The sequence below is a fragment of the Homo sapiens genome, chromosome 19, assembly GCF_000001405.40.
Source record: "Homo sapiens chromosome 19, GRCh38.p14 Primary Assembly".
Classification (NCBI taxonomy): domain Eukaryota; kingdom Metazoa; phylum Chordata; class Mammalia; order Primates; family Hominidae; genus Homo; species Homo sapiens.
Window position 1 is genome coordinate 48,170,496 of NC_000019.10, and position 27,489 is coordinate 48,197,984.

At 50.2% G+C, this 27,489-nt stretch overlaps 1 protein-coding gene across 6 annotated transcripts, besides 4 other annotated features; it reads left to right on the forward strand.

Moving 5' to 3' along the window:
* Positions 185-27,125, forward strand: ZSWIM9 (zinc finger SWIM-type containing 9). Of its 6 annotated transcripts, none has more exons than XM_005259449.4 (4): positions 185-900; positions 1,299-1,582; positions 11,960-12,272; positions 24,158-27,125. In XM_005259449.4, exons 1-4 carry the CDS (start codon positions 871-873, stop codon positions 26,330-26,332), a joined length of 2,802 nt encoding a protein of 933 aa, XP_005259506.1. In that variant the 5' UTR covers positions 185-870; the 3' UTR covers positions 26,333-27,125. The 6 variants fall into 6 exon arrangements, with proteins under 6 accessions (XP_005259506.1, XP_006723267.1, NP_955373.3 ...); XM_006723204.4 differs by having other exon boundaries at positions 185-533; NM_199341.4 differs by having other exon boundaries at positions 185-219.
* Positions 238-377: a silencer, noted in NCBI's record as "silent region_10874". NCBI's record gives its function as "represses an Ori minimal core promoter by ATAC-STARR-seq in GM12878 lymphoblastoid cells {active_cell/tissue: GM12878}" and the evidence as "EXISTENCE:reporter gene assay evidence [ECO:0000049][PMID:35858748]".
* Positions 16,248-16,307: an enhancer, noted in NCBI's record as "active region_14872". NCBI's record gives its function as "activates an Ori minimal core promoter by ATAC-STARR-seq in GM12878 lymphoblastoid cells {active_cell/tissue: GM12878}" and the evidence as "EXISTENCE:reporter gene assay evidence [ECO:0000049][PMID:35858748]".
* Positions 17,901-18,133: a silencer, noted in NCBI's record as "fragment chr19:48691653-48691885 (GRCh37/hg19 assembly coordinates)". NCBI's record gives its function as "represses an EF-1alpha promoter that drives an FKBP-Casp9 reporter gene in an ReSE screen in HepG2 liver carcinoma cells {active_cell/tissue: HepG2}" and the evidence as "EXISTENCE:reporter gene assay evidence [ECO:0000049][PMID:32094911]".
* Positions 26,019-26,531: an enhancer, noted in NCBI's record as "H3K4me1 hESC enhancer chr19:48699771-48700283 (GRCh37/hg19 assembly coordinates)". NCBI's record gives its function as "activates a minimal SCP1, AML or CMV promoter by ChIP-STARR-seq in primed H9 embryonic stem cells {active_cell/tissue: H9 hESC(primed)}" and the evidence as "EXISTENCE:reporter gene assay evidence [ECO:0000049][PMID:30033119]".

Sequence of the window (27,489 nt, forward strand, 5' to 3'; positions counted from 1 at the left end):
TGGGAAAATGCCCGCGCTTTCCCTCGCCCTGGATGAGCGGGTGTGGCTGAGGGTCTGAGGAGTGACTGGCAGGGAAAGAGGAGGAATCGGTGGAAGCGCCCCCGCGAGGCACGGCGGGAAGAGAGGCGGGAGACCGCGCGGGGCATCCCGGGAGCAAGGGCCGGGCCAGGCCTGGGCGCGGGGCATTGTGGGAGGTGGACGCCGCTCCGGGGCGGGTAGGTGAGTGGGGAGGGGCGGGAAGGGTGCACATCTTGGGGAGGGGAGAGGCACAGCTAGGTGGGACGGCGGGGCTGGAAGGTGCCGCAGCGGGCGGGGAGGGGGGGAGTAGGAGGGTCGGGAGCGGGCTGGATGGGGCTGCTCGAGGGGAGACGCGCAGCTGGACGTGGGGGGAGCATCTGGGGTGAAGGAGCCCATCCGAGGACGAGGGGCCATGTCTAGAACGAAGATGCATATTGCGGGGGATGGTGGATGTAACTGGGAGGAGGGGCCCACAGCTGGACTGGGGGCCGCATCTGAGGAGGAGGGGACCACAGGTGAATACTGGTGACACTTCCGAGGAGAACTAGCCACAAGTGGGGCACACACCTGTAGGCGAAGCGTGGATAACTGCATGTGGGGAGTACATCTGGAGATGAGAGTGTCTCAGGGAAGCCCCAGCTACAGCTGCATGTGGCGAGCCATAGGGTCATAATCGGGGGAAGGGGCAACAGCTGCACGCCAGAGGCACATCTGGGGAGTGCGGAGCCACAGGTGCATGAAGCATGTGACCGGGTGAGGGGTCCGTGGCCTGGATGTGGGAGCACATCTGGAGATGGAGCGTCTTTGGAGGGGTTACAGCCAACTGTTGGCACATGGAAGGAGGAGTTCCAGATGAATACGAGAGTTAGAAGTTACTCTTGGGTGAGAGACACAGCTGGAAGGGGAGGAGGTTTTAGCTGGAATTTGAGAACACATTTGAGGAGATGTCCTTAAGGGACATCTGAGCTTAAGGGTCGTATTTTGGGAGGAGAGATTCCAACTGTACCTAAGGGTCACATCTGCGGAGGAGGAGACGAGTTGGAATTAGGAATCAAGATGACAGGCTCCAAGTGAACCAGGGATAAGGCGGTGGGAGGAGGCCAAAGATAGGATGGAGGTTGATATTTATATATTTGGAGAAAAACAGGCACGTCCGACCCCGGGCTACCCACCTCGATAGAGGCACCAGCAACCGACGGGGCAGGCCAAGAATGGAGTAGATGAGATACCCCGGGTGGGAATGGGTCTGATATCCACCTGTTCTCCCCTCCTCCACGCAGGCCCCCAGGATGGAGCGGCCGGAGCCCCCACCCGGCACGGCTGCGGGGCAGGAGGAGCAGGAGCTGCGGGAGCGGGCCTTCTTCTCGTGGGCCGAGTTCAGCCGCTTCTTCGACGCGTGGTGCCAGCAGCGGCTGGCGCTCTTCTTCGTCAAGAGCTCCATGCACCTGGCGCGCTGCCGCTGGGCCAGTGCGCCCCCGCTCTACACGCTCATCGACGTGCTCAAGTACAGCTACGTGCGGCTTGTGTGCAAGGACGTGCGTGCGCCCAGCCGGCCCGCCGTGGGGTGCGTGAACCTGAGCCGCTGTCCTGCTGGGGGGAAGGGGAGCACCGGGGGTGGGTGTGGGTGGGAGACGGGCAGAGAACACCCCACCCAGAGATGCAGAGGGGGAGAGGCCAACTGAGGCAGCCAAATACACCTTGCAGAGAGGCGGGAGTCAAGGAGGGACATGTACTGAGAGAAGAAGAGGAGCTAGAGAGACAAAGATACTCACGGAGCAAGAGATGGTGTGGGCCCGACTTACAGACTTTTTTTTTTTTTTCGAGATGGAGTCTCGCTCTGTCGCCCAGGCTTGAGTGCAGTGGTGCCATCTGCAGCCTCCACCTCCTAGGTTCAAGTGATTCTCCCGCCTCAGCCTCCCGAGTAGCTAGGACTACAGGCACCTGCCATCATGCCCGGCTAATTTTTGTGTGGTTTTTTGTTTTTGTTTTTGTTTTGTTTTGCTTTGTGTTGTTTTTTTGAGACAGAGTCTTGCTCTGTCACTCAGGCTGGAGTGCAATGGCACAATCTCGGCTCACTGCAACCTCCACCTCCCGAGTTCAAGCGTTGTTTCTCCTGCCTCAACCTCCTGAGTAGCTGGGATTACAGGCACGCGCCACCACGCCTGGCCAATTTTTGGATTTTTGTAGAGATGGGGTTTCACCATGTTGGCCAGGCTGGTCTCAAACTCATGACCTCAGGTGATCTGCCCGTCTTGCCTCCCAAAGTGCTGGGATTACAGCCGCGAGCCACTGTGCCCGGCCTGACTTACAGAATGTAATAGAGACTTCGAGAGGCAGAGCGTAAAACACACACACCCCAAGAGGAGAAAATAGTCACGGAAAATTCCAGAAACATGGAGACATGGAGGCAGAGACACCAGAGACAGCCAGGGAAACAGAAGAGCCAGGTTTTGTACACGTGACAAAGACTGGGAGACAGAGACTGGGAGACTGAACTGCAGAGAAGCCGCAGGATAAAGAAAAGGATCCATCTATTCAGTGAATAAGGGGCCAGGTCCCATGCTGTGGGCTGGGGATATTCTAGTTGGAGCGATGGAGTTGGGCAAGAGACAAAAATCCCTGCCCTTCTGGTACTTTCTGACTGGACAGAAAGATTGACGTTAAAAGAACAAGCTCACAGGTAGTTCCCTACAACTGTGCAAAGAGGGGCAGGTGAGAAATCCAGGAGAGCCAGAATCACACCCAGGTGGCCAGGGGTATTTTAATGGACCCCAATTGTATTTTATTTAGTCTTTATTTTTTTGAGACAGGGTCTTACTCTGTTGCCCAGGCTGGAGAGCAGTAGTGCGATCTTGGCTCCCTGCAACCTCCAACTCCTGGGTTCAAGAGATTCCCCCACCTCAGCCTCCCAAGTAGCTGGGACTACAGGTGTGTGCCACTATGCCCACCTAATTTTTGTATTTGTAGTAGAGATGGGGTGTCACCATGTTGGCCAGGCTGGTCTCGAACTCCTGACCTCAAGGAGGCTGAGGTGATCTGCCCACCTCGGCCTCCCAGAATGCTGGGATTACAGGCATGAGCCACCACACCCAGCCAAATTGACCCCAATTTTATTTTACTTTATTTTATTTTATTTTATTTGAGACGGAGTCTTGCTCTGCCATCCACACTGGAGTGCAGTGGCACAATCTCCACTCACTGCAACCTCAGCCTCCTGGGCTCAAGCAATTCTCCTGCCTTAGCCTCCCCAGTAGCTGGGATTACAGGCATGCGCCACCATGCCCAGCTAATTTTTGTATTTTTAGGGTTTCACCATGTTGGCCAGGCTGGTCTTGAACTCCCGACCTCAGGTGATCTGCCTGCCTTGGCCTCCCAAAGTGCTGGGATTACAGGTGTGAGCCACGGTGCCTGGTCTGACCCCAGTTTTAAACAGGGGTTGTTCCCCACACAGTTAGGTTTCCAGCTTCCACTGGAACACCGGAAGAGGTGAGCCCATGTTTCCATTGGCAGACGGCCACCCCTCTTGGATGGGGCTTTGCTGCCCAGGTTTGCCCCAAACCCTGCCACTCTCTGCTGCCTCATCCCTAGCACTGTCTTTTGCTTGTTTTGCCTGCCTGGTCCCAGTAGGTGTGTGAGTTTGAGACCCTTGGTTGGGGAGCTGTAGACAAGAACAGAGTGCTTAAGAACACAGGCTCTGCCTTTAGGCTGCCTGAGACATGCTCCACGACTTCCTGGATGGGTGACTTTGGGCAATGGACTTCACATCTCCAAGCCTCAGTTTTCTCATCCTTTGAAATGGGGTTATCACGATACCCGCCTCATGGGGCCATTGTGAGGATACTGTGAGATCATACATGAGAAAAACACATAACCCTGGTGCCTGGAACATGGGGTGGCTGGTTAAGTGATAGCTGTTACAGGATTCGAGAGCATGGACTCTGGGCCATTGTGCTGCTGATGCTTGGTGGATGCTGTTGAGTGAGTGACTTCACCTTTCTGTGGCCTCAGTTTCCTCATGTGGAAAATGGGAGACATAATAGTGTCTATCTCATAGGTAAATTATTCAGAAAGGCATCCAGCACAGAGTAAGCACACTCTTAACAGCTCTTTCACCGGTAGTTATTTAAACATGTATTGTGAAATACATTCTTGCAACTTCTTTCTCACTACTTATTCTAGAAACAGAGACTCGGAGATCTGAAAGTGGAACAGCATCAAACACACACATCACCCAGAAACCTAGAACGTTAGAGCTTGCAAGAAGCTCAAAGAAGCTCAGGCCTAATCTGAAACCTATTAACAGAACCCAGTTCCAATGTAACAAATGCTTATTGAGCACCTACTATGTGCATGCCCTTCACTGGACGTTTAGAATCCGAGACTGATCTCGGCTCTTGAACAGTTCAGAACTTAATGGGGTAGACAAAGACCAAAAAACAAAAAAAAATTATAGATAGTGGCCCATAGTAGTGAGAGTGAGATTGAGGGGGAGATGAGAGGAGGATACAAAGGGAGTGGTCAGCTCCACCTGAAAGCTTACTGGGTGGTTCTGGAAGGCTTCCTGGAAGAGGTAACCAGTAAGCAGAACCTTGAAGAATTTTGTTGATATGTTTATGTATGTATAGTATGTGAGCTAACAGACACACTAGGTTTACTATGTGCAGGTACTGTCCCAAGTGCTCTACAAATATCAGAGACAGCCAAGGAGCAGGAGAGACAGGACTATGGAGGGGGCGAGGACAGGGCCCTGGGTACACTCCTGGGACTGGGTAGATGATGAGATGGTCTCTGAATGGGGAGTGCGGGAGCAGGTGGTTGATGAGCCGGTTCAGGAACGATATCTTGGAGCCGTCATGTCTAGCTCCCTCACTCTCTCGAGCTGCTCAAAGCAGAGCCTCTCCAGTGCCACAGCCCAGGGACAGCCCATGGGCCGAGGTCAGGCTGGAGAAGTTAGTGTGTAAGGAAAGGCAGGACATGAGGCTGCAGTGGTGTCAAGGGCTGGATCTGGCAGGGCTGAGTACAGGAGTTGGGACTTTATCTGGGGGTGGTGGGAGCCCTAGAAGGCTGTGAGTAGGGTCAGTTCTGGGTGGAGGAAGATCCCTCTGGGGCCGTGTGGGAGACGATGTGGGGGAGAGAGAAGGGATATGAAGGAGGAGGCTGGGGCTGAGGGTGCAAGGAACCAGACAAGAACTTTCTTCCTGTCCACTCCTTCCCCCTTGCCAGAGGTTACACAGTGACTCTCTTGAAGTCACCACTGCTGCAGCTTCAGCTCTCCAGCTCCAGTTCCTCCCCCATCCCTCTCTCTCAGCACTTCCCTCCCTGGAACAGAATTGCTCAGCCTTTCTCAATACACACCGGCCGTTGAAAACATAAAGATCTTGAAAACCTGAACGATCAAGAATAAATGGGTAGTCGGGTGCGGTGGCTCTCGCCTGTAATCCCAACACTTTGGGAGGCCGAGGCGGGCAGATCACTTGAAGTCAGGAGTTTGAGACCAGCCTGGCCAACAGGGTGAAACCCTGTCTGTACTAAAAATACAAAAATTAGCCGGGCCTGGTGGCAGGTGCCTGTAATCCCAGCTACTCGGGAAGCTGAGGCAGGAGAATCACTTGAACCCAGGAGGCGAAGGTTGCAGTGAGCTAAGATTGTGCCACTGCATTCCAGCCTGGGCAACAGAGCGAGACTCTATCTCAAAAAAATGAATAAATGGGTAAGTGGAAGGCAAATCAAAGCAAAGCAACGGGTCCTTGAAAAAAAGTTTAAAAAAATAGCAGGTACTATTTCTGCATTGTTTACTATGCACTAGCCCATTTCTAACCACTTTACATAATTTAATCCTCTTATTTAGCCCTCTCTACAAGCCTGAGAGACTAGTATTACTATTGGCCCCACTTTCCAGGTGAGAAAACTGAGGCACAGAATGCTTAAAGATTGTTCCCAGGATAACACAGCAGCTAAGAGGGAAAACCAGGGTCTGGACCCTCATTCTGGTTACTAAGCCCATGATTTTAATTACCACCCTCCCGCCTTTCTTTCTCACTTTCTCTTTCTCTCTCCTTCCCTCATCTTTATTTCAATCATTCAACCCTCAGTGTGAGGGTTGACCGTGCCATGGATCCCCTAAAGATGTGTTGTTTCTGGGCACCAGCCTATCCATCCCTTCACCCAAGAGGTTTTTGGGAGCCCCTGCAATGTGCAAGGTGGTGGTTTTAGATGCTGGGATTTCTGTGGGGAGCGTACATTACAGATGGACATAAATAAAAATCCCAGCCGGGTGCGGTGGCTCACACCTGTAATCCTAGCACTTTGGGAGGCCGAGGTGGGTGGATTGCCTGAGCTCAGGAGTTTGAGACCAGCCTGGGCAACATGGTGAAACTCCGTCTCTACTAAAATAAAAATTAAAAAAAAAAAATTAGCTGGGTGTGGCGGCGTGTACCTGTAATCTCAGCTATTCAGGAGGCTGAGGCAGGAGAATTGCTTGATCCTGGGAGGCGGAGGTTGCAGTGAGCCAAGATTGTGCCACTGGGGACAGAGTGAGACTCCGTCTCCAAAAAAATAAATAAATAAAAATTAAAAAAAAATAAAATTCCCTACATGTGATGGACCATGCCCTAGCCAGGATATGGTCAGGGAAGACTTCCTGGAGGAGGCGATGCTGGCTGTGAGGCCTGAAAGATGAGTAGGAGTTGACTAGGTGAAAAGGGAGAGGAATGTTTTATGAAGGAGGGAAGAACTTACGATAGGTTGTGGCAATGGAAAAAATGTGGATGGGTAGGACGTGGTGATGGATGGTTTTGGTGGAATGGAGACCATATCCCAGAGTAGGTGTGCCAGGGTTTGTAGGTTACATCGTGGGATTTAGTCACTGAATCATCACACACTTACTGAATACCTCCAGACGCCAGGTACTATTCTAGGTGCTGAGGATACAGAGATAAACAAAATAGACAAAAATTCCTATCCATGTGGAATTTACATTTAGCGGGGGGATGACATTATTCCTCCAGACAGGTGGAGAGAAATTGGAAAAATGGCGTGTTGAAGCACCAGTAGGTGGTTATGTGAGATTCTGGGCCCCTGCAGAGGAGATGCCCTATTCTCTGGCAAGATTCATGGCTTCACAGAAGAGGTGACCTACCCGGAGCAAGGGGCTGTCCTAGGGCCTGAAACACCTAGGCTGAAGGAAGTCAGACAAGGGTTTCACAAAAGCCCACGAATTATTCTAGAAAAATGTACGGGGTGGCATACCGTGAACTTGCAATCTTGATAAATCAAACATGGCTGCACGCGGGGATTTCCTTTGCTTCCACCTGATACCACATGGTGGCTGTATGTTTATTTTATTCATATTTATTTGTACATTGAATAATTTTCTAAATGTGCATTATTTTTGTATTTTTTGAGATGGAGCTTCGCTCTTGTCGCCCAGGCTGGAGTGCAATGGTGTAGTCTCAGCTCACTACAACCTCCATCTCCCAGGTTCAAGCGATTCTCCTGGCTCAGCCTCCTGAGTAGCTGGGATTACAGGTGCCCGCCACCACGCTCAGCTAATTTTTGTATTTTTAGTAGAGATGGGGTTTGCCTATGTTGGCCAGGCTGGTCTCGAACTCCTGACCTCAAGTGATCCGCCCGCCTTGGCCTCCCAAAGTGCTGGGATTATAGGCGTGAGCCACCGTGCCCGGCCTTGTTACTTTAAATGAGGCATAAAGTCTCAAACTCTGTATGTTGATTCTTAAAATCTAGCAGGCTCCTGCGTTTTTCTTCACCTCGTGCATGTAGGAAAAAAGGGGTGTGTCAAGGATGCCCTTCTGGTTTAACAAAGAAAATTTTTAAGCATTTATACTGGTGGATTTAAGCATTTCTCTGGGTGGATCCTGGGGAGAATCACCCAGTTGGGGGGCCATTTGGAAAAAGCATAGGAGGGCTTTTAGGGGGTGTGTTACTGGGGTATTTACTACCTGGGAGCCAGGGTTTCTTAACTACATACCAGGCCCCGGGCAGTCTGTGTTACAAGGGTCAGCAAACTAGGAAGCCCTTGGACCAATCCCAACCTGCAGCCTACTTTTTTTTTTCTTCTTCTTGAGACAGAGTCTCGCTCTGTCGCCCAGGCTGGAGTGCAGTGGCGCGATCTCGGCTCACTGCAACCTCCACCTCCTGGGTTCAAGCGATCTCCTGCCTCAGCCTCCTGAGTAGCTGGGACTATGGGCGTGTGCCACCGCACCTGGCTAATTTTTGTATTTTTAGTAGAGACAGGGTTTCCCCACGTTGGTCAGACTGGTCTCGAACTCTTGACCTCGTGATCTGGCCACCTCAGCCTCCCAAAGTGCTAGAATTACAGGCGTCAGCCACCACGCCCAGCCTGTAGCCTATTTTTATAAATGAAGTTTTATTGGAACATAGCCATGCCTGGTCATTTACATACGTCTATGGCTTCGTTTGCAATATAGCAACAGAATATATTAAACATTTACTACCTGGCCCTTTGCAGAAAATGTTTGACAGCTCCTGCTGTATAAACATAAAATCTGCCAAAAAATGCTGATATTACCCCACATGGAGAAACACTGAACCCCTCTTCAGAAATCAGATGCCAATTTAAATATTACTATCAGAGAAATACACTCTGATTTTTTTTTCCTATTCCCTTTCTTTTATTTTCTTTTTTGAGACAAGGTCTTGCTCCGTTGCCCAGGCTGGAATATGATGGTGCCATCATAGCTCACTATAACCTCGGATTCCTGGGCTCAAGTGATCCTCTTGCCTCAGCCTCCCAGAATAGCTAGGACTATGGGTGTGTGCCACAATGCCTGACTACTTTTTTATGTTTTAATTTTTTGTAGAGAAGGGCTCTTGCTATGTTGCCCAGGCTGGTCTTGAACTCCTGGACTCAGGTGAAGTGATCCTCCTGCCTCAGCCTCCCAAAGTGCTGGGATGACAGGTGCTAGCCACTGCACCCGGCCCTATTTCATTTTCTACAGTGTTGGTTGCAACTCTCTACATTAATTTCATGTAATGGGCTATGCTGTGCAGTCTGAGAACCGCTGTCCTAGACAAACTCTTGCTCACACACATAAAGAGATGTATAAGAGAGTGTTGTATCACACGTTGGGGTGATTGAAGCATCATTCGTAACAGAGGAGAACTGGAAACACCATCATAGATGGCAGAGCCGTGGAGTGGAACATTCGGCAGCAGTAAAAGGAATGAAACTGAACAGTTTTGAAAATCCGAGTGAAAAGCCAGCTGCAAAGGCATCTGTAAGGTGGGATGATTGTCTTAGTCTCAATTGATGTAACAAACTACCACAAATATGGTGGCTTAAAACAATACCAATTTATTTATCTCACAGTTCTGGAGGTCAGGCGGCCAATATGGGTCTCAGGGCTAAAATCAAGACATTGGCAGTGCTGTGTTCTGGAGGCTCTAAGGAGAATCTGCTTCCTTATCCTTCCAGCTTCTAGAGACCACCCATGCTCTTTGGCTTGGAGCCTCTTCCTCCATTTGTTTTATTTATTTATTCTAGACGGAGTTTTGCTCCTGTTGCCCAGGCTGGAGTGCAGTGGTGCGATCTCGGCTCACCGCAACGTCCGCCTCCTGGGTTCAAGCGATTCTCCTGCCTCAGCCTCCCAAGTAGCTGGGATTACAGGCATGCACCACCACGCCTGGCTAATTTTGTATTTTTAGTAGAGACCGCGTTTCTCCATGTTGGTCAGGCTGGTCTTGAATTCCCAACCTCAGGTGATCCGCCCACCTCGGCCTCCCAGAGTTCTGGGATTACAGGCATGAGCCACCGCGCCAGGCCATTCTTCCAATTTTTTTTTTTTTTTTGAGAGGTAGGGGTCTCACTAGTCTCACTATGTTGCCCAGGCTGAACTCAAATGATCCTCCCAGCTCAGCCTCCTGAGTAACTGGGACTATAAGCAAGTGCCACTGTGCCTGGCTCTTCCTCCATCTTTAAAGCTAGAAGGTAGCATCTTTCAATCTCTCTCTGACTTTGATCCTCTTACTTCCCTCTTTCCCTTATAAGAACCTTTGTGATGACATTTGGGCCTACCTGGGTAATCCAGACTCTCCCCATCTCAAGACCCTTAATTTCATCACACCCGCAAAGGTCCTCTTGCCATGGAAGGCAGCATATGCACAGTTTCAGTGACTATGATGTGAATATTTTGGGGAACCATGATTCTTGCTACCGCAATGCTCGGAAACAAAGAGTTTTCTTTTTCTTTTTTTCTTTTTTCTTTTTTTTTTTTTTTGCTTTGAGACAGGGTCTCGCTCTGTCACCCCAGGCTGGAGTGCAGTAGTGCGATCTCGGCTCACTGCAATCTCTGCCTCCCGGGTTAAAGCCATTCTCCTTCCTCAGCCTCCCAAGTAGCTGGAATTACAGGTGTAATCCCATTAGCCTATTATTAGCCAGCACGCCTGGCTAATATATATATATATATATTTTTTTAGTAGAGACAGGGTTTCACCATGTTGGCCAGGCTGGTCTCAAACTCCTGATCTCAGGTGATCCGTCCCCCCTCAGCCTCCCAAAGTGCTGGGATTACAGGCGTGAGCCACCATGCCTGGCCAAAAACAAAGTTTTTTCGAAGTAGACTTTTAAAAAATGTAACACACATCCAGAAAAGTACACACATCATATGTGTGAAACTGAATGAATTTTCCCAAAAAAAAAATCAGAGGTAACCAGCACCCAGAACAAGAAACAGAATATGTCCAGTCCCAAGAAACCTCCTGGTGCCCCCTCACAGGGTTAACCACTTAAGGGTAACCACTATCTAGCCTCCTAACGATAGAGGTTAACTTTGCCTGCTGTTGAACTTTATATAAATGGGAATTATATCAGTTTCTCTTTCATGTCTGGCTTCTTTCACTTGGTAGGTTTGTGAGATTCATCCGTGTTGTTGGAGGTTGTAATGGTGTGTTCATTCTTGGTGCTGATTAGTGTTTTATTTTAGGAATATACCACAACTTATTTTCTCACTCTATTGTTGGATATTTAGGTTTCAAGTATTTGGCGAATACACATAGTGCTGCTATGAACATTCTCGTACACAGCTTTAGATGCCCATTTGTCTTGAGTGGCACCACTGGGTCACAGGAGAGACATAAAATTTGCTTTAGTAGATACTGCCATGAAGTTTTCCAAAGTGCTTGTGCCATTTCACGTTCCCATCAGTGATGGGTGAGAGTTCCAGTTGCTCCACGTCCTCATCAACACTTGATGTTATCAGTCTCTTTTGTTTGACCATTCTGCTGATGTGTAGTGGCATTTCCTTAGGGTTTTAATTTGTTATGTCTTTGATGACTAATGAGTTTGAGTCCTTTTTCACGTATACAATGCTTTTAACACACAGAAACATACCTCCCATTGTTTATGGGTGCATAAAAATATACATGGAATGCTAATAGATAATTTTGATAGTGGCTGCCTCTGGGGACAGAGGGAAGGAAGATAATCTGTTAGGGCAGCGTTCACAGAAGGCCTCAACTTTTGATGTTATTGCTAAACCAGAAGCAGATACAGGACTATCTGAAATTTTTTATTTCTAAAAAAAGTTAAGGTAAATACAATAAAACATTCACTCACTTTTGACAGAACTAAGGGTGGTAGGTATAGAATTTTAGTGAACACTTACTGCTTGCCATATTCCAGACACTGTGTAGGTGCTTTACCTATATTAACTCTTTTCATGCTCATGACGATCCTATGAGGAAGGTATGATGAGTAGGACCTTCCTTGTAACCTATGAGGAAACTGAGGCATAGAGACTTGAAGTGACTTGCCCCAGGTCACACAGCTGGCATATTCTTAGGGCCCTCTACTCTTCTCTATGCCTGAAACAATTCTTAGTTTAAAAAAAAAAAAAAGGTGAGTGGAAAGGAAGAAGAGGGCAGCAGAGTGATGTGACCAGGGCGGTGGTGGTTCCTCCCACAGGCCTCCCCAGCCCGGCTGCCCCGCCTTCATCATCGTCAAGCTGAGCCCGCTGCGGGACCGCCTCGTGGTGACGGAGTGCCAGCTGACCCACTCACACCCGGCCTGCCCGCTGGAGTTCGCCTACTACTTCCGCCCGGGCCACCTGCTGGCCAACGCCTGCCTGCCGGTGCGCACCACCAACAAGATCTCCAAGCAGTTCGTGGCCCCAGCCGACGTGCGCCGCCTGCTGTCCTACTGCAAGGGCCGCGACCACGGCGTCCTGGACGCCCTGCACGTGCTCGAGGGCCTCTTCCGCACCGACCCCGAGGCCAAGGTGGGGTCTCGAGAGAGGCAGGCCGGGGGAGGGGGCGGGGGAAAGCCGCGCTGAAGACTCGTGGGTCATTCATGCCTTCATCCGCCCTCTCATCCCTTCACTCCTTTCCTCCATTCATCCGTTCATTCATTCAATAAGTACTTACCGAGGCATTGGGGATGCAGCAGCAAACCAGACCCACGTGGTCTCTGTCCGCAGAGAGCTTACCTTCTAGGGTAGTGCTGCCCAGTAGAACTTTCTTCCAGGATGGAAACGTTCTGTGATTCTGCACCCCCAGCCACAAGTGGCTACTGAGCACTTGAAATGTGTCCAGTACACTGAGGAACTGAATTAATTAATTAATTAATTAATTTTTTTGAGACGGAGTCTCACTCTGTCACCCAGGCTGGAGTGCTCTATCACCCAGGCTGGAGTGCAGTGGTGCGATCTGGGTTCACTGCAACCTCCGCCTCCCGGGTTCAAGCGATTCTCCTGTCTCAGCCTTCCGAGTACCTGGGACTACAGGGCGTGCCACCACGCCGGCTAATTTTTTTGTATTTTTAGTAGAGACGGGGTTTCACCATGTTAGCCAGGATGGTCTCGATCTCCTGACCTTGTGATCCGCCCGCCTCGGCCTCCCAAAGTGCTAGGATTACAGGCGAGAGCCACCACGCCCGGCCTGAATTTATTCTAATTAATTGAAATTTAAATAGCCACCTATGGCTATTGGCTGCCTTGCAGAGGTAACTGCCAGAACGCCCCTGCAGTTCTGGCGGGAAAAACCAACAACTGACAAACATGTCCAAATATGATGTAACATCACTAGGGGCTGGCTGGGTGCTAGCAAGAAGGGGAGCCACAGTGATGACAAATGCTATGTAAGTTTTTTTTTTTTAATCTTTTTTTTTTTTGAGACAGGATCTCACTGTCACCCAGGCTGAGTGCAGTGGTGCAGTCATGGCTCACTGCACCCTCGATGTCCCAGGCTCAAGCAATCCTCCCACCTCATTCTCCCGAGCAGCTGGGACAACAGGCGTGCACCACCACACCCAGCTAATTTTTTAGTTTTTGTAGAGATGTTTGGCGGGGGGGGGTCTCCCTATGTTGCCCAGGCTAGTCTTGAACTCCCAGACTGAAGCAGTCCTGCTTCGGCCTCCCAAAGTGCTGGGATTACAGGCATGAGCCACCACGCCAGGCCTACTTAAATTTTTTTTTTTTTAATTGAACTGCACAAACAGAAAATGCACAAATGATAAATACTTAGTTTGATGAATGTTCTCAAGGGGAGAACACACCTGAACCCACCATGCAGATGGAGAATTAGGAGAAGGAAGAGTGCTATGTCCTGTAATGTGATGGAGCGATAAGTTATCATCAAGGAGAAAAAGGCCGGGGCCTGGAGCGGGACAGTTCTAAGGGTGCTGTTTGAATTGGTCAGGGAAGGTCTCTTTAGCAAATGATGGTGAAGCAGAGGAGATGGAACAGAGGCAAGGGACCCTCATTCTGTCATCAGAGGGAAGAGAATTCTAGGCAGAAGGAACAGCCAGTGCAAAGGCCCAGAGGCACGAGCAAGCTTGTGTTGGAGGAACAGTGAGGATGGCTGCTGCTCCATAAGGAATCTCTGCGGCTTTAATCCAACTTCAAGTTTGGGGTGAACTTGAAGTTTAAAGAGGAAAGAAAGATGAGAAAGTAGGGGAAGAACTGGTTTCTCCTCCTGGCTGTGCCTTTGTCTCCCTTGTGTGTGGAAGAGGTCCCAAGGCAGGGTAAAGTCGAGATTCAGCTCTGGCACACTCTTCCTGTCTTCATCTCATGCCCAGTAAGAAGCCCTGATTCAAGCCACCAGCCCAAGCCCAGGCCTCTGTCCCGACATAATAATAATTTTAGCTAATGTTTATCAAGCACTTACTATATGCCAGGCACTACCCTAAGTGCTTTACATACTATAACTCATTTTCATCTCACCTGAGCCCTATGAGGAAATAGTCCACCATTCTCATCCCCATTTTACAGACAAGGAAACTGAAGCACAGAGAAGTCAAGTAACTGGCTCAAAGTCACACAGCTATTTAGTGACAGAGCTGGGCTTCGGACCCACACAGCCTGGATCCAGACCCATGACCTTCACCATGGGGACAAACACACATGCACTTCCTACTCCACTGGTCTTTGCTGATCTAGTAACTCTCCTCCACTACCCACCATGACATAAATAAGCCTCAGCTGTTCTTCCCTGAACCCACCCTCTGCAGGATTGTCCCTGTGCAGAACAGCTCATTCATAGATCAGAGCCTTCCCTGGAAGGGGAGTTGTCTTTTCATTTTGAAGGCTGTCTTGGAATCTCGGCTAAACCACGGTTGGCTCCTGCGTCTGTGTTTTGACCTGCTTTCATACTTTTTTTTTTTTTTTTTTTGAGACGGAGTTTCGCTCTTGTCACCCAGGCTGGAGTGCAATGGCGGAATCTTGGCTCACCGCAACCTCCGCCTCCCGGGTTCAAACGATTCTCCTGCCTCAGCCTCCTGAGTAGCTGGGATTACAGGCATGCGCCACCATGCTAATTTTTGTGTTTTTAGAAGAGACGGGGTTTCTCCATGTTGGTCAGGCTGGTCTTGAACTCCTGACCTCAGGTGATCCCCCCGCCTTGGCCTCCCAAAGTGCTGGGATTACAGGCATGAGCCACCGTGCCCAGCCCCTTAATGCTCTTGAAAGAAAGGAGGAAGAAGTTCTAGGACAGGAGAGACAGATTAGTGAAGCAACATTTAAATATTTACTTTTTGAATATGTCATACATTCACATGGTTCTAAAAAAGGTATGTGGTGAAAAGTCTTATCACATCCTGTCCCCCAGGTCCCCTCCCCTGCAGAGTTATTAGCAGCTTATAAATCATATCTCGCTTTCTATCCTATGGACCAGCACTGCCCGGTGGAACTTTCTACAATGATAGAAATGTTCCTTATCCAGGCTAGGCATGGTTACTCACACCTGTAATCCCAGCACTTTGGGACTCTGAGGCAGATGGATCACCTGATGGCAGGAGTTCGAGACCAGCATGGCCAACATGGCAAAACCTGATCTCTACTAAAAATTCAAAATTAGCCAGGCATGGTGGCAGGTGCCTGTAATCTCAGCTACTCGGGAGGCTGAGGCACAAGAATCGCTTGAACCCAGGAGGCAGAGGTTGCAGTGAGCTGAGATTATGCCACTGTACTCTGGCCTAGGTAACAGAGTGACACTCTTGTCTAAAAAAATAAAAAGAAAGAAAATGGTTCTTATCTGTACTGTCCAATCCAGAGGCCACTGGCCACACATGGCTACAGAATGCTTAATGAGGCCAGTATGACTGAGGAACTGAATTTGTCATTTAATTTATCGAAATGTAAACAACCTAATGTAGCTAGTGGCTTCTGGATTGGACAGCGCAGCTCTGCACATATACAGGTCAATTTGCATGTCTGTATGTTTAACTTTAATTTTTAACTTTATTTCCTCTTTCTGCCCCGCCACCCCCCACCCCCAGCAAGCAGGGCAGCCTAGTGTACACGCTGTTTTTGTTTGTTTGTTTGTTTGTTCTTTGAGACAGGGTTTCACTCCTGTCACCCAGGCTGGAGTGCAGTGGCACGCTGTTGGCTCACTATAACCTCCACCTCCTGGGCTCAAGTGATTCTCCTGCCTCAGCCTCCTGAGTAACTGGGACTATAGGCATGCACCACCATGCCTGGCTAATTTTTGTATTTTTAGTAGAGACGAGGTTTCACCATGTTGGCCAAGCTGGTCTCAAACTCCTGACCTCAAGTGATCCACTCACCTTGGCCTCCTGAAGTGCTGGGATTACAGGTCGGGGCCACCACACCCGGCCTGTACATGCTGTTTTGCATCTTGCTTTATACGTTGGGGAGTGCCAGATGTCACCATCTTTCGTTCTTCCTCTGGGGCTGGTCAAATCCCCCTGAGAAAACTCCTCTGGCCTCCTGGCGGGGGGTGAAGGCCAGGCTGCCAGGGCCAGGCTGCCAGCTTCTGGGAGCTGCAGGGGCAGAGGCAGGGAGCTGTCAGGCATTCAGCCAGCAAGACGCACTCAGTACCCACTTGGGGTTCAGAATCCCCCTCCCTCATCTTCAGATGGGCCAGATGTCCCCAAAGCCAGCGGCCCCTTTCTGTTTCACCCTGTCTACAGAATAAACCCCCAGTCACTGGGGGTGGGGGAAGAGTAAGGGGAGAGGGGAAACGAGATTTGGAGGTCTAGCTGCTGCTGAAACAGCCCTCAGTTCGTCTTTATTTTGCCTTCTGCAAAACTGGCCTGGTGTTGCCAGCTCCTTTTGAGGACTTTGCTACCGGTTCTCAGCATCCCTCAATTGCTGGCTTAGGATTCATGGGTTTTTAGGGGTGGGGTGGGATTAGCATGTCCAGCTGCTTTCCAGTTTCCAAAGTTCTGTCCCTATCATATTGCCTCTGATTTAAAAAAAAAAAAAAGCCATTTTAAAAAAAAGATGTAATTGAGGTTCAAGAGAGAGTGAAACTAGAGAGGTGTTCAATCCATCACTTTTACACAGAAATTTCACCTTTTTTTCACTTATAAAATCTAATGAAAGAGTTCTATATTATTATGTTAATAATACAGTAGTAATATAACAGTATAATGTAATAATTAATATATTATATTAATTATATATTATAATTATATATTATATTATATTATATATATTATATATTATATATTAATTATATATATTATATATATTATATATTATATTATAATATATTATATTATATTATATATATTATATATTATATTATTATTATATTATATTATATATATTATATATAATATTATATATATTATATATTATATAATATAATATTATATATTATATTAATATTATAATATGTAACGCATAACATGTAATATTGATAATATAATAGGTGCGATGGCTCACACCTGTAATCTCAGCACTTTGGGAGGCCGAAGCGAGAGGATCACTTGAGCCCAGGAGTTCAAGACCAGCCTGGCCAACATAACGAGCACCTGTCTCTACAAAAAATTAAAAAAAAAAAAATTAGGCATGGTGGCATGCATCTGTAGTCCCAGCTACTCAAGAGGCTGAGGCACGAGGGTTGCTTGAGCCCAGGAGCTTCAGGCTGCAGTAAGCTATGATCACACCACTGTACTCCAGCCTTGACAACAGAGTGAGACCCTTTAAATAGATAGATAGATAGATAGATAGATAGATAGATAGATAGATAGATAGACAGACAGACAGCAAGCTTTAAATTTTCATCCCAAGCCTAGGTCAAGCAACAATCAGTCTTTCCACTTCCCAGCAGTCTTCCAAAGGAAGGATTATTTGTAAAAAGTGCCTGCACTTCCTGAGTTGGGTTGCTCTCTTGATCTTTGGAGGGGATCAGACAAGAAGGATGCGCCCAAAGCCACAAGGCATGATTTAAGGGCAAGACTGGGGGGCGACTTCACCCAGGGAGGTGTTAATACCTTTTTTTTTTTTTGAGATGGAGTCTCGCTCTGTCTCCCAGGCTGGAGTGCAGTGGCGCAATCTTGGCTCAGCACGACCTCCATCTCCCAGGTTCAGGTGATTCTTGTGCCTCAGCCTCTTGAGTAGCTGGGACTACAGGCGTGCGCCACCAGGCCTGGCTAATTTTGTGTGTGTGTGTTTTAGTAGAGATGGGGTTTCATCATGTTGGCCAGAATGGTCTCGATCTCCTGGCCTGGTGATCTGCCTGCCTCGGCCTCCCAAAGTGCTGGGATTACAGGCGTGAGCCACCGCACCCAACCTTTAACACCTTTTATCACCTGCCCTGCCTGATGATGATGGGCTTTGGGGTCCAGTCACATCTCCATTCCCTCACTTGTGGCAGGCACCAGGGTAACCAGCAAGCAAGCCCTGAAAAGAGAGACCTTGCCCGGAAACGTTGCAGCGTTCTCTTACGTGTATGCTTTGCCTTCTGAGAATGGCGAGCATTGATGCAAGTGTATCCCTTTTAAGAATACTCAATGGGGCCAGGCGTGATGGCTCACACCTGTAAGCCCAGCACTTTGGGAGGCTGAGGCGGGTGGATCACGAGGTCAGGAGATCGAGACCAGCCTGGCTAACATGGTGAAACCCCGTCTCTACTAAAAATACAAAAAATTAGCCAGGTGTGGTGGCAGGCGCCTGTAGTCCCAGCTACTTGGGAGGCTGAGGCAGGAGAATGGCGTGAACCCGGAAGGCGGAGCTTGCAGTGAGCTGAGCTCACACCACTGTACTCCAGCCTGGGTGACAGAGCGAGACTCCATCTCAAAAAAAAAGAATACTCCATGGGAAGCTGGTATGATCTCAGTGGAGGGCAATTTAGCAATATCTATCAAAATGACAAGAACACTCACCCTTAGGCTCACAATCCCACTACTGGTGATTTATCCTGCAGATGTAGTTGCACAGCTGTGGAAGGACTTACTTACAAGGTTAATCATTGTTGTTTGTGAAAGCAGCAGATTAGAAACAACCCAGACTCCACCAACGGGTAATGGTTACATAACTTGTGGTATATCCATCCATGGATTACTACACAGCACTAAAAAAGAATGAGAACTTTGGGAAGCCGAGGCGGGCAGATCACAAGGTCAGGAGATCAAGACCATCCTGGCTCACATGGTGAAACCCTGTCACTACTAAAAATACAAAAAATTAGCCAGGCATGGTGGCAGGCACCTGTAGTCCCAGCTACTCGGGAGGCTGAGGCAGGAGAATGGTGTGAACTCAGGAGGCGTAGCTTGCAGCGAGCCAAGATCGTGCTACTGCACTCCAGCCTGGGCGACAGAGTGAGACTCCATCCTAAACAAACAAAAAAAAAAGAATAAGAACAAGTCTAGGAACTATTTTGAAAGATCTCTCAAACACATTTTTAAGTTAAAAAAGCAAAATGCAAAACTGTACATAATATGCTGTATTATCTATAAAATAGAGCAAATAAGAATTATAGGTATGCTTACTTGTACTCATATAAAGAAACTCTAGAAGAATACCAAGAACTGTGGATGAGGGTAGAATAGTGAATGGAAACTGACTGATTAGACTAAAGAGGTGGGAGTAAGACCTTTTATGTATCGCTTTACATTATTTGACTTTAGGACCATGTGGATGTTTGCATATTCAAATAATTAATTCTTAAAAAGAAGATGAAAATAGAAGGTGGGCGCAGTGGCTCACACCTGTAATCCCAGCACTTCGAGAGGCTGAGGTGGGTGGATCACTTGAGGTCAAGAGTTTGAGACCAGCTTGGCCAACATGGTGAAACCCCGTCTCTACTAAAAATACATAAATTAGCCAGGCATGCTCGTGGGTGCCTGTAGTCCCAGCTACTCGGGAGACTGAGGCAGAAGAATCACTTAAACCTGGGGTGGCGGAGGTCGCAGTGAGCCGAGATCATGCCACTGTACTCCAGCCTGGGTGACAGATTGAGACTCCATCTCAAAAAAAAAAAAAAGAAAGAAAATTAAGCAATAGTCCCAACATACTAAACGCATTTGTTTCTCTCCTCAAAGGAAAAATTAGAGGGCGAGTTATAGAGGGTCTTGAGGTTGTGTGAGTCAGGATGGCCTAGGTTTTGCTGTAATAATGAACAGCCCTCAAATCTCAGTGGCTGAACTCATTGAATTTTATTTCTTGCTCACTTACACAGCCACCACGGGATGTTGGGGGAGTACTGTTTATCTGAGTCATTCTGGGACCCAGGAGGATGGGCATTCAGCCCAACGTAATTACCATATCTGGCAGCGGTGGCTGCGAAGGCTTCTCCTTGGATGCGATGCCGCAGCTCCCTCCCACTCACACTTGATTGGCCAAAGCAAGTCACATGACACTGCTTACCTGCAAGGGGGCAGGGAGGTGCAACGCTACTAAGTGCCCGGGAGAGGGAGAACTGCAATTTCTTGGCAAGCGGCAAAAGATAACCACAGGGTACTGTTTCATCAAGGGCCGCCCAAAGCCCTGTCTGAATATGGGGCTCGTGTTTCCCCTGCTATGTAGTTACACAGGCCTCCTGCAGCTTAGTTTCAGCTTTTCTAGTTTTTCATGGCTCCCAGAGGGAATATTTTCTATGCCGTATAGCCTGTTTTCACATGAAGCCATTTTGGGGTGTTATAGTAACAGCTGGTGACTTGATTTTATTTATGTTGCTATGTGCTGAAAGCTTTATGAATGTTCTGGCTGTGCCAGTTACTAGCTGTGGGACATGGAACAAGTTATGAACAACCTATTTACCTTCTCCAACCCTTAGTTCATTTATCTGTAAAATGGGGATAATACTATCTTATAGGGCTGTTGGGGTTGTTGTGTGAGAAAGTGCAGTGTGTATGTGTATGTGTGTGTGTGTGTGTGTGTGTGTGTGTGTGTGCAGAATGGGTAGAACCGTGCCCAGAAGTAGGAAGCCCTGCATATGTTCAATATTTAGCTATTATTTTGTTGTTGTTGTTTGTTTGTTTGTTTTTTTGAGATGGAGTCTCTCTCTGTCGCCCAGGCTGGAGTACAGTGGCACAATCTCGGCTCACTGCAGCCTCCGCCTCCCGGGTTCAAGCAATTCTCCTGTCTCAGCCTCCCAAGTAGCTGAGATTACAGGCGCGCACCACCACGCCCAGCTAATTTTTGTATTTTTAATAGAGGTGGGGTTTCACCATGTTGGTCAGGCTGGTCTTGAACTCCTGACCTCAGGTGATCCACCTGCCTCGGCTTCCCAAAGTGCTGGGATTACAGGCGTAAGCCACTGTGCCCAGCCTTAGCTATTATTTTTATTCCTTCAATTTTTTCTTTGGGGCAGTCTGGAGAACAGTTTCATGTGAACATTCTGATCACATGGAAAAGGGAAGGTTTACTCACGTGTCGGAAGAGGTGTGAATGGAAAGTAGTAAAGGCATGGTTTCTGATGTTCATGTTTGTGGAATCTGTCGTCTATGGCAGATGCTTCCCCGTGCTACCAATTTGTGTGTCTGAAAGGACACCCGTACATTCATCTGCATCCTCAAAATCTGTTCCTCCGTGGGTTTCTCCATCTCTGCAAAATGCACTGCTGTCCACTGTGTGCCTAAGCCAGCCCTGTTTGGTCAATTTTTTGAAGGCTGTAGGGTAGAGTGGTCAGGAACAAGAAGCCCTGGACCCAAGCTGTCAGGGTTCAAATCCCAGCTCACCTGGTATTGCAAATCGCATGGGTGACTCCAGGCAAGCAACTGAAGCCGTGTGTGCCTCGGTGTCCTCATCTGAAAAAGGGGAATGAGAATCATAGTATCTATCTTACAGGGATATTGTAAGGATGAAAGATTAGCTGTTGGAACTGTGCCTGGTGCAGAGAAACTACTTCATGTGTGCTTTGCACACCCGAAACCTTCTTTTTTATATTTATTTATCCTTGGCCTGGGGGCTGTCTCCTCTCACTCAGTGGTGTGTCTCATTTGTTCTCCTCTGTGCCTGAGCCAGCACATGGCACATCATATTTTCTCAGTAAATATCTGGCAGAAAAATGTATTCATCAGCCTGGCCAACATGGTGAAACCCCATCTCTACTAATAATACAAAAATTAGCCAGGCGTGGTGGCGGGCACCTGTAATCCCAACTACTTGGGAGGCTGAGGAGGAAGAATCGCTTGAACCCGGGAGGCAGAGGTTGCAGTGAGCCAAGATCACGCCACTGCACTCCAGCCAGGGCGACAGAGTGAGACTCTGTCTCAAAAAAAAAAAAAAAAAAAAAAAAAAAAAAAATATATATATATATATATACACACACACACACACACACATTTACATAGCCCCGCCTTCATCAAATGTCACCCTGCCCCTTAAAATGCCGCCCATGCATGTTCTCCCACCTACTGCTTTTGTTTCCAATCATTCCTAATGGCCCGGATCTATTGGATCCCAGCATCACTGCTTGTTAGCGCAGTGGCCTTGGGCAAGTCACTCCTCTGGTGCAGATGGGGGTCCCTAAGACCACCCTCAGTTTCCATGATTCACTAGAAGGAATCACAGAACTGAGAAAAATTGTTATAGTCAAGGCTACAGTTTATTACAGCAAAAGGATACAGAGTAAAATCAGCAAAGGCAAGAGCCACACAAGGCGACCCCATCAGTCTCTCTGATTCCTTAATTATCTAACAGCAGCACATAGGGCAGAGGCCAAGAGAGACCAGCATGAGCTGCCAGATGTCGTCTCTCAGTGAAGTCCCATGGACAGTGCTCAGTTCTCCCAGCAATGACATGTGACAACAATGATGTATTGCTAGCCAGGGACACTTACTTGGGCCTTGGTGTCCAGGGTTGTTATTGGGGTCAGCCATGTAGACTTGTGCTGAATACTGCTGAGAGATCGAGACAGACGGTAAGAACGGCTGAGAGCTGATGCACGCCAGGTGTCCTTCCATGCGTTGGCCAGGAGTGATCTCATTTTAGCCCATCCATGACCCTGTTAAATAGACATCTCCATTTTTCCAGACAAGGAACCAAGGCTCATTGAGGAGAGGTCACTTGCCTGAAGTCCCACGGCTAATAGGCAAATCCAGGAGTCTGATCCTTAAACCTCCACCCTTACAGATGTGGCCTTGGACATGGCTGCACACCCTCGCGTGAGTTCACTCACTCAGGATGTATTGAGCCATTGTTCCAGGGCAGGTAGCATTCAAAGCATCAGGGGTGCTGTTATAGCCAAGGCTACAGTTTATTACAGCAGAAGGACACGGAATAAAATCAGCAAAGGGAAGAGCCACATAGGGCAGAGGCCAGGAGAGACCATCCCGAAGGGGAACATCCCTGTGCTTGTGGGGCTTCCATCTTAAGGAGGGCAAGCAGGCAATGGGCAGATCAGGAAACGAAGATATGACTTGCCAAAGGGTGGTAAGTGCCATGGCCAAAAGGAGGCAGAGAGAGATGGGGTGTCTGCTTAGTTGGGAAGTCACAGAAGAGCGGGACGTGATGTTTGAACAGAGACGATAATTATAATGGCCACTTTCAGAACACTTACTATTTGTTGGATAAGTAATAACAGTAATATATGTACCAGGCAATGTTCTAAATGCTTGAATGCATCTCATCTTTCCAATCACAGAGATGCTCTTATTATCATCACTTTACAAATGAAAGGGAGGTTAGGGAAGTTGGCAGAAGGCACACAGCCAGGAAGCAGGGGCTCCAGGATCTCAGCCCAGGGATCTTGGCCTCAGAGGCTATGCTTTTCACCACTGTCCTGCCTCTCAGTGCATGGAGAAATGAATGTTCAGTGCCTAGAAGGGATAATCAGGGAATATGGAGGTTAAGGAGGCAACTGAGGCACAGAGAGGTTAAATCGCAGGGTTCAGAAGTGTTGGGGGTGGGACTCAAAGCTAAATGATCTGCCTCCACAATCTAAGCTCATTACCACCAGACCAGTCATCCTTAAGCATGCATAGGAGTCCCCTGGAGGGCTTGTCAAACTAGATTGCTGGGGCCCGCCCCCAGAGTTTCAGACTCAGTGGGTCTGAGGTGGCCCCGAGAAGGTGCATTTCTGTCCAGGTCCCAAGAACCGATGGTGATGCTGCTGGTCCAGGGCCCACATTTTGAGACCCACTGCCCTAGACTGCCTCTCAGCACACGGAGGAATGAATAGCCAGCTTCCGGCGGAGGAAACTGAGGCTCAGAGAAGCTAAAAGTGTCATGTGGAAAAAATCACATAGCCGTTAGACTGTGGTACCTGGATCTCAAACCCAGGCAATCCGGCTCCAGAGTGTTTTTAACCATTTCCCTGCACTGCCTCCTGCCGGTCAAAAGAATAAATGCATATGCAGGCAAGAATGAATGGGTGGTCCCATTTCCGTAGAAGGGGAAACCGAGGTCGGGGAGCTGGGCGGGGAGACCCCAGCATCCTCTGACCTCTTTCCTTGCCTCCCTGCCCCCGCCCGCAGGTGAAGCTGGTGTTCGTGGAGGACCAGGCTGTGGTGGAGACGGTGTTCTTCCTGACGTCGCGCACCAGGGCGCTGCTGCGGCGCTTCCCTCGCATGCTGCTGGTGGACCGGCTGCCGGGGCTGCAGGGCGCGCTGGATCTGCTGGCCGTGCTGTGCGTGGACGGCTCGGGCCGTGCGCGCCAGGCTGCCTGCTGCGTGGCGCGCCCGGGCACACCGAGCCTGCTGCGCTTCGCGCTCGCGTCGCTGCTGCAGAGCGCGCCAGACGTCAAGGGCCGCGTGCGCTGCCTCACCGCCGGGCCCGAGGTGGCGGCGCAGTTGCCTGCAGTGCGCCAGCTGCTGCCCTGCGCGCGCGTGCAGATCTGCCGCGCGCAGGGCCTGGAGACGCTCTTCAGCAAGGCGCAGGAGCTGGGCGGCGCCGGCCGCGAGGACCCGGGCCTGTGGTCGCGCCTGTGCCGCCTGGCTGGCGCGTCGTCGCCCGCAGCCTACGACGAGGCGCTGGCCGAGCTCCACGCCCACGGCCCAGCCGCCTTCGTGGACTACTTCGAGCGCAACTGGGAGCCCCGCCGCGACATGTGGGTCCGCTTCCGCGCCTTCGAGGCGGCCAGAGACCTGGACGCGTGTGCCCTGGTGCGAGGCCACCGCCGGCGACTGCTGCGTCGTCTCAGCCCCTCGCGTGGCGTGGCGCAGTGCCTTCGCGACCTGGTGGCCATGCAGTGGGCCGACGCGGCCGGGGAGGCGGTGCCCGAGGGGCCCGATGGCGGGGGGCCTTGGCTGGAGGATGAGCCAGGGAGGGGAGCCCAGGGGGAGAACGAGAGGGTGAGGGGCCTGGAGACAGGCGACTGGGGAGGGGCTCCGAAAGAAGGAAGTATTTGGAGGGGAGCCCAGATGGAGAAGGAGTGGGCAAGGGCACTGGAAACCAGAGACTGGGGCGGGGCTCAGTTCGAAGGTGAGAAGGGGAGGGCACTGCAGATCAGAGATTGGAGAGGGGGTCGGTTGGAGAATCAGAAGCCGAGGGGACTGGAAGGGGGTGTCTTGAGAGGGTCGAAGTTAGAGAAAGGGCACCTGAGAGGGCCAGAGATTAGAGACTGGAGGGGGCCCCAGTTGGAGGGTGAGAAAGATTGGGGACTGGAAGGTTATGTCTGGAGGGGGTCCCAGTTGGAGGACCAGGCGCTAAGAGGATTGGAAGGGTATACCTGGAGGGTGGCCCAGCTGGAAGATCGCAGGAGTACCACCGACCTGAGGGGGACCCAGTTTGACTATGAGAGGGTCAGGAGTCTTGAAGGAAGCCCCTGGAGGGGGGCGCAGCTGCACGATGAAAGGGCAGGGGGACTGAGAACTGCAGAATGGAAGGGGCCACAGTCAGAAGTAGAGAAGGGGAGGGGGCTGGAGGTCAGAAACTTGAGGGGGATCCCCTTGGAGAAGTCCCTGGAGTTGGCCCCTGAGAACGGAGACCAAAGGGGACCCCAGTGGGAAGATGAGAGGAGGAGAGGGCCAGAGATTGCAGAGGAGAGGGGAGCGAGGGTGGGGGTCAAAAGAAGAAGGGGCCTGGAGGATATAGTTCTGGTCCAGCTGGGAGACACGAGGGTCACAGGCATGGAGAATGGAGATGGAGGGGGAGCCCGGTCCGTGGGCCCCAAGAGCCGAGCCGGACGAGGGATGGAGTGGGGAGACGCAGGAGGGCGGTGTCTAGGGCTGGGGAATGGAGTCGTGTCTGGCACCCCGGTGGGGACTGTATTGGAAGGCAGCCCAGAATGGGCAGCGGCGAGGAGTGAACACCTGGCTGCAGGTGACGGCCTGCAGGAAGGAGGCGAAGATGGCCCCAGGGAACCAAAGAGGCTTTGCCGACCCCCGGGAGAGGAGGAGGTGGACTGGGAACCCCTGGCCAAATTCCGAGCAGCCTGCGGGCCAGAGCTGGCAGACCTGGTGGCTGAGGAGTTGGCCTTTGCTAGGCAGCATGGGACCCGGGGTTTCCACTGGACCGGAGCTGGCTTTGCCCTTAAGGACGGCACCTCGGACTTCTTCCTGGATGGGGCCCTGACACGCTGCAGCTGCTCAATTCACGCCGCCCGCCGTCTGCCCTGCAGACACCTCTTTGCAGCGCGCCTCCTCACTGGGGCTGCCTTATTCCACATGGACCTGCTCAGGGATTGCTGGGGGAGAGCCCCAGAGCCCTGACCCTTCATGCCTCTGCCCACCACCCTCCACCAGGAGGGTCGGAGGGCATTCTTCGATCCCAAAGATAATAGGGCTGAGGCCAAGGAGACCGTTGCAGTCCCCCTGGCCACCTTCTGGGTCATCCAGGGACCTCCTCATGGCAGTTTGCCTCTCTGGGTCCAAGGGCAAGCTGTAAGTGGTCTCTGAGGTCCTGGAGCCACAGCTTGGGAAGGTGTTGATGGGCAGGGTGGATTCTGAGGGCTTCCCTCTGGAGAGGAAGCATGTGATGAGAGGTGTAGACAGGGTCAGGCTGGGACAGAAGGAAGGAAAGGGGCAGAGCTGGGGGGAGGGGGAGGAAGCGATCATATGGGGAGTGTCTGGCAAGAGTAGACTGGCCAGTCTAGGGAGTGCAGCGGGGAGAGGGGAAAGGGAGAAAGTACAGAAGACAGATGAAGGAGAGGAGGTAAGCGAGAAAAAATGGAAAGGGGAGCCGGAAATGGAGGAGAGAGGACAAGCAAAGAGACAGAAATGAAGACATGAGGAAAAGCTGGGGGAAGCAGGAGAGGAAGGGACGGGATGTAGGAGGGGGAAGAAAAATCGGAGATGAGACAAAAGAAATGTGTGGGAGACGGGTAGAGACGAAATGCAAGGGGCGTGGTTTTGGTTTTTCTCCAAGACCTGGAGACATCGACCCCCATCGCCTTCTGAAGAGAGAGGGAGGGCGGGCACTGGGGGTCAGGAGAGTCTCCAGCAGGGGAGGGGAATTGTTTGGACTATTGTTCTTCAGGATTGGAATAAAACAATCTTATTTTGGTTTCCGTGATGAGTTCTTGGCTTCTGGGGTTGGTTGGGAGTCCCAGATCCAGGGAACAGTTGAGATGGTCCAGCGTTCCTTCATTCTTTCTACCGACAAGGCCTCCTGGGGCCAGATGGATAGAGGAGCCACAATGAATTCATCTCCATAGCAACTCAAGCTTCCTCCTCCATCATCTGGACCAGTGCGTCCCAGTGGCAACTTCTTGACATGAGTCGATTCTACCTTCAAATGACTGACTCATGCCAAATGTCCTGGCCACAGAATGGGCCTGTGACCCAGTCCTGGTCAACGAGTCTGCTCAGGTTGAGGTGGGAGGCTTTTTTATTTTTATATTTTTGTAGAAACAGGGTCTTGCTATGTT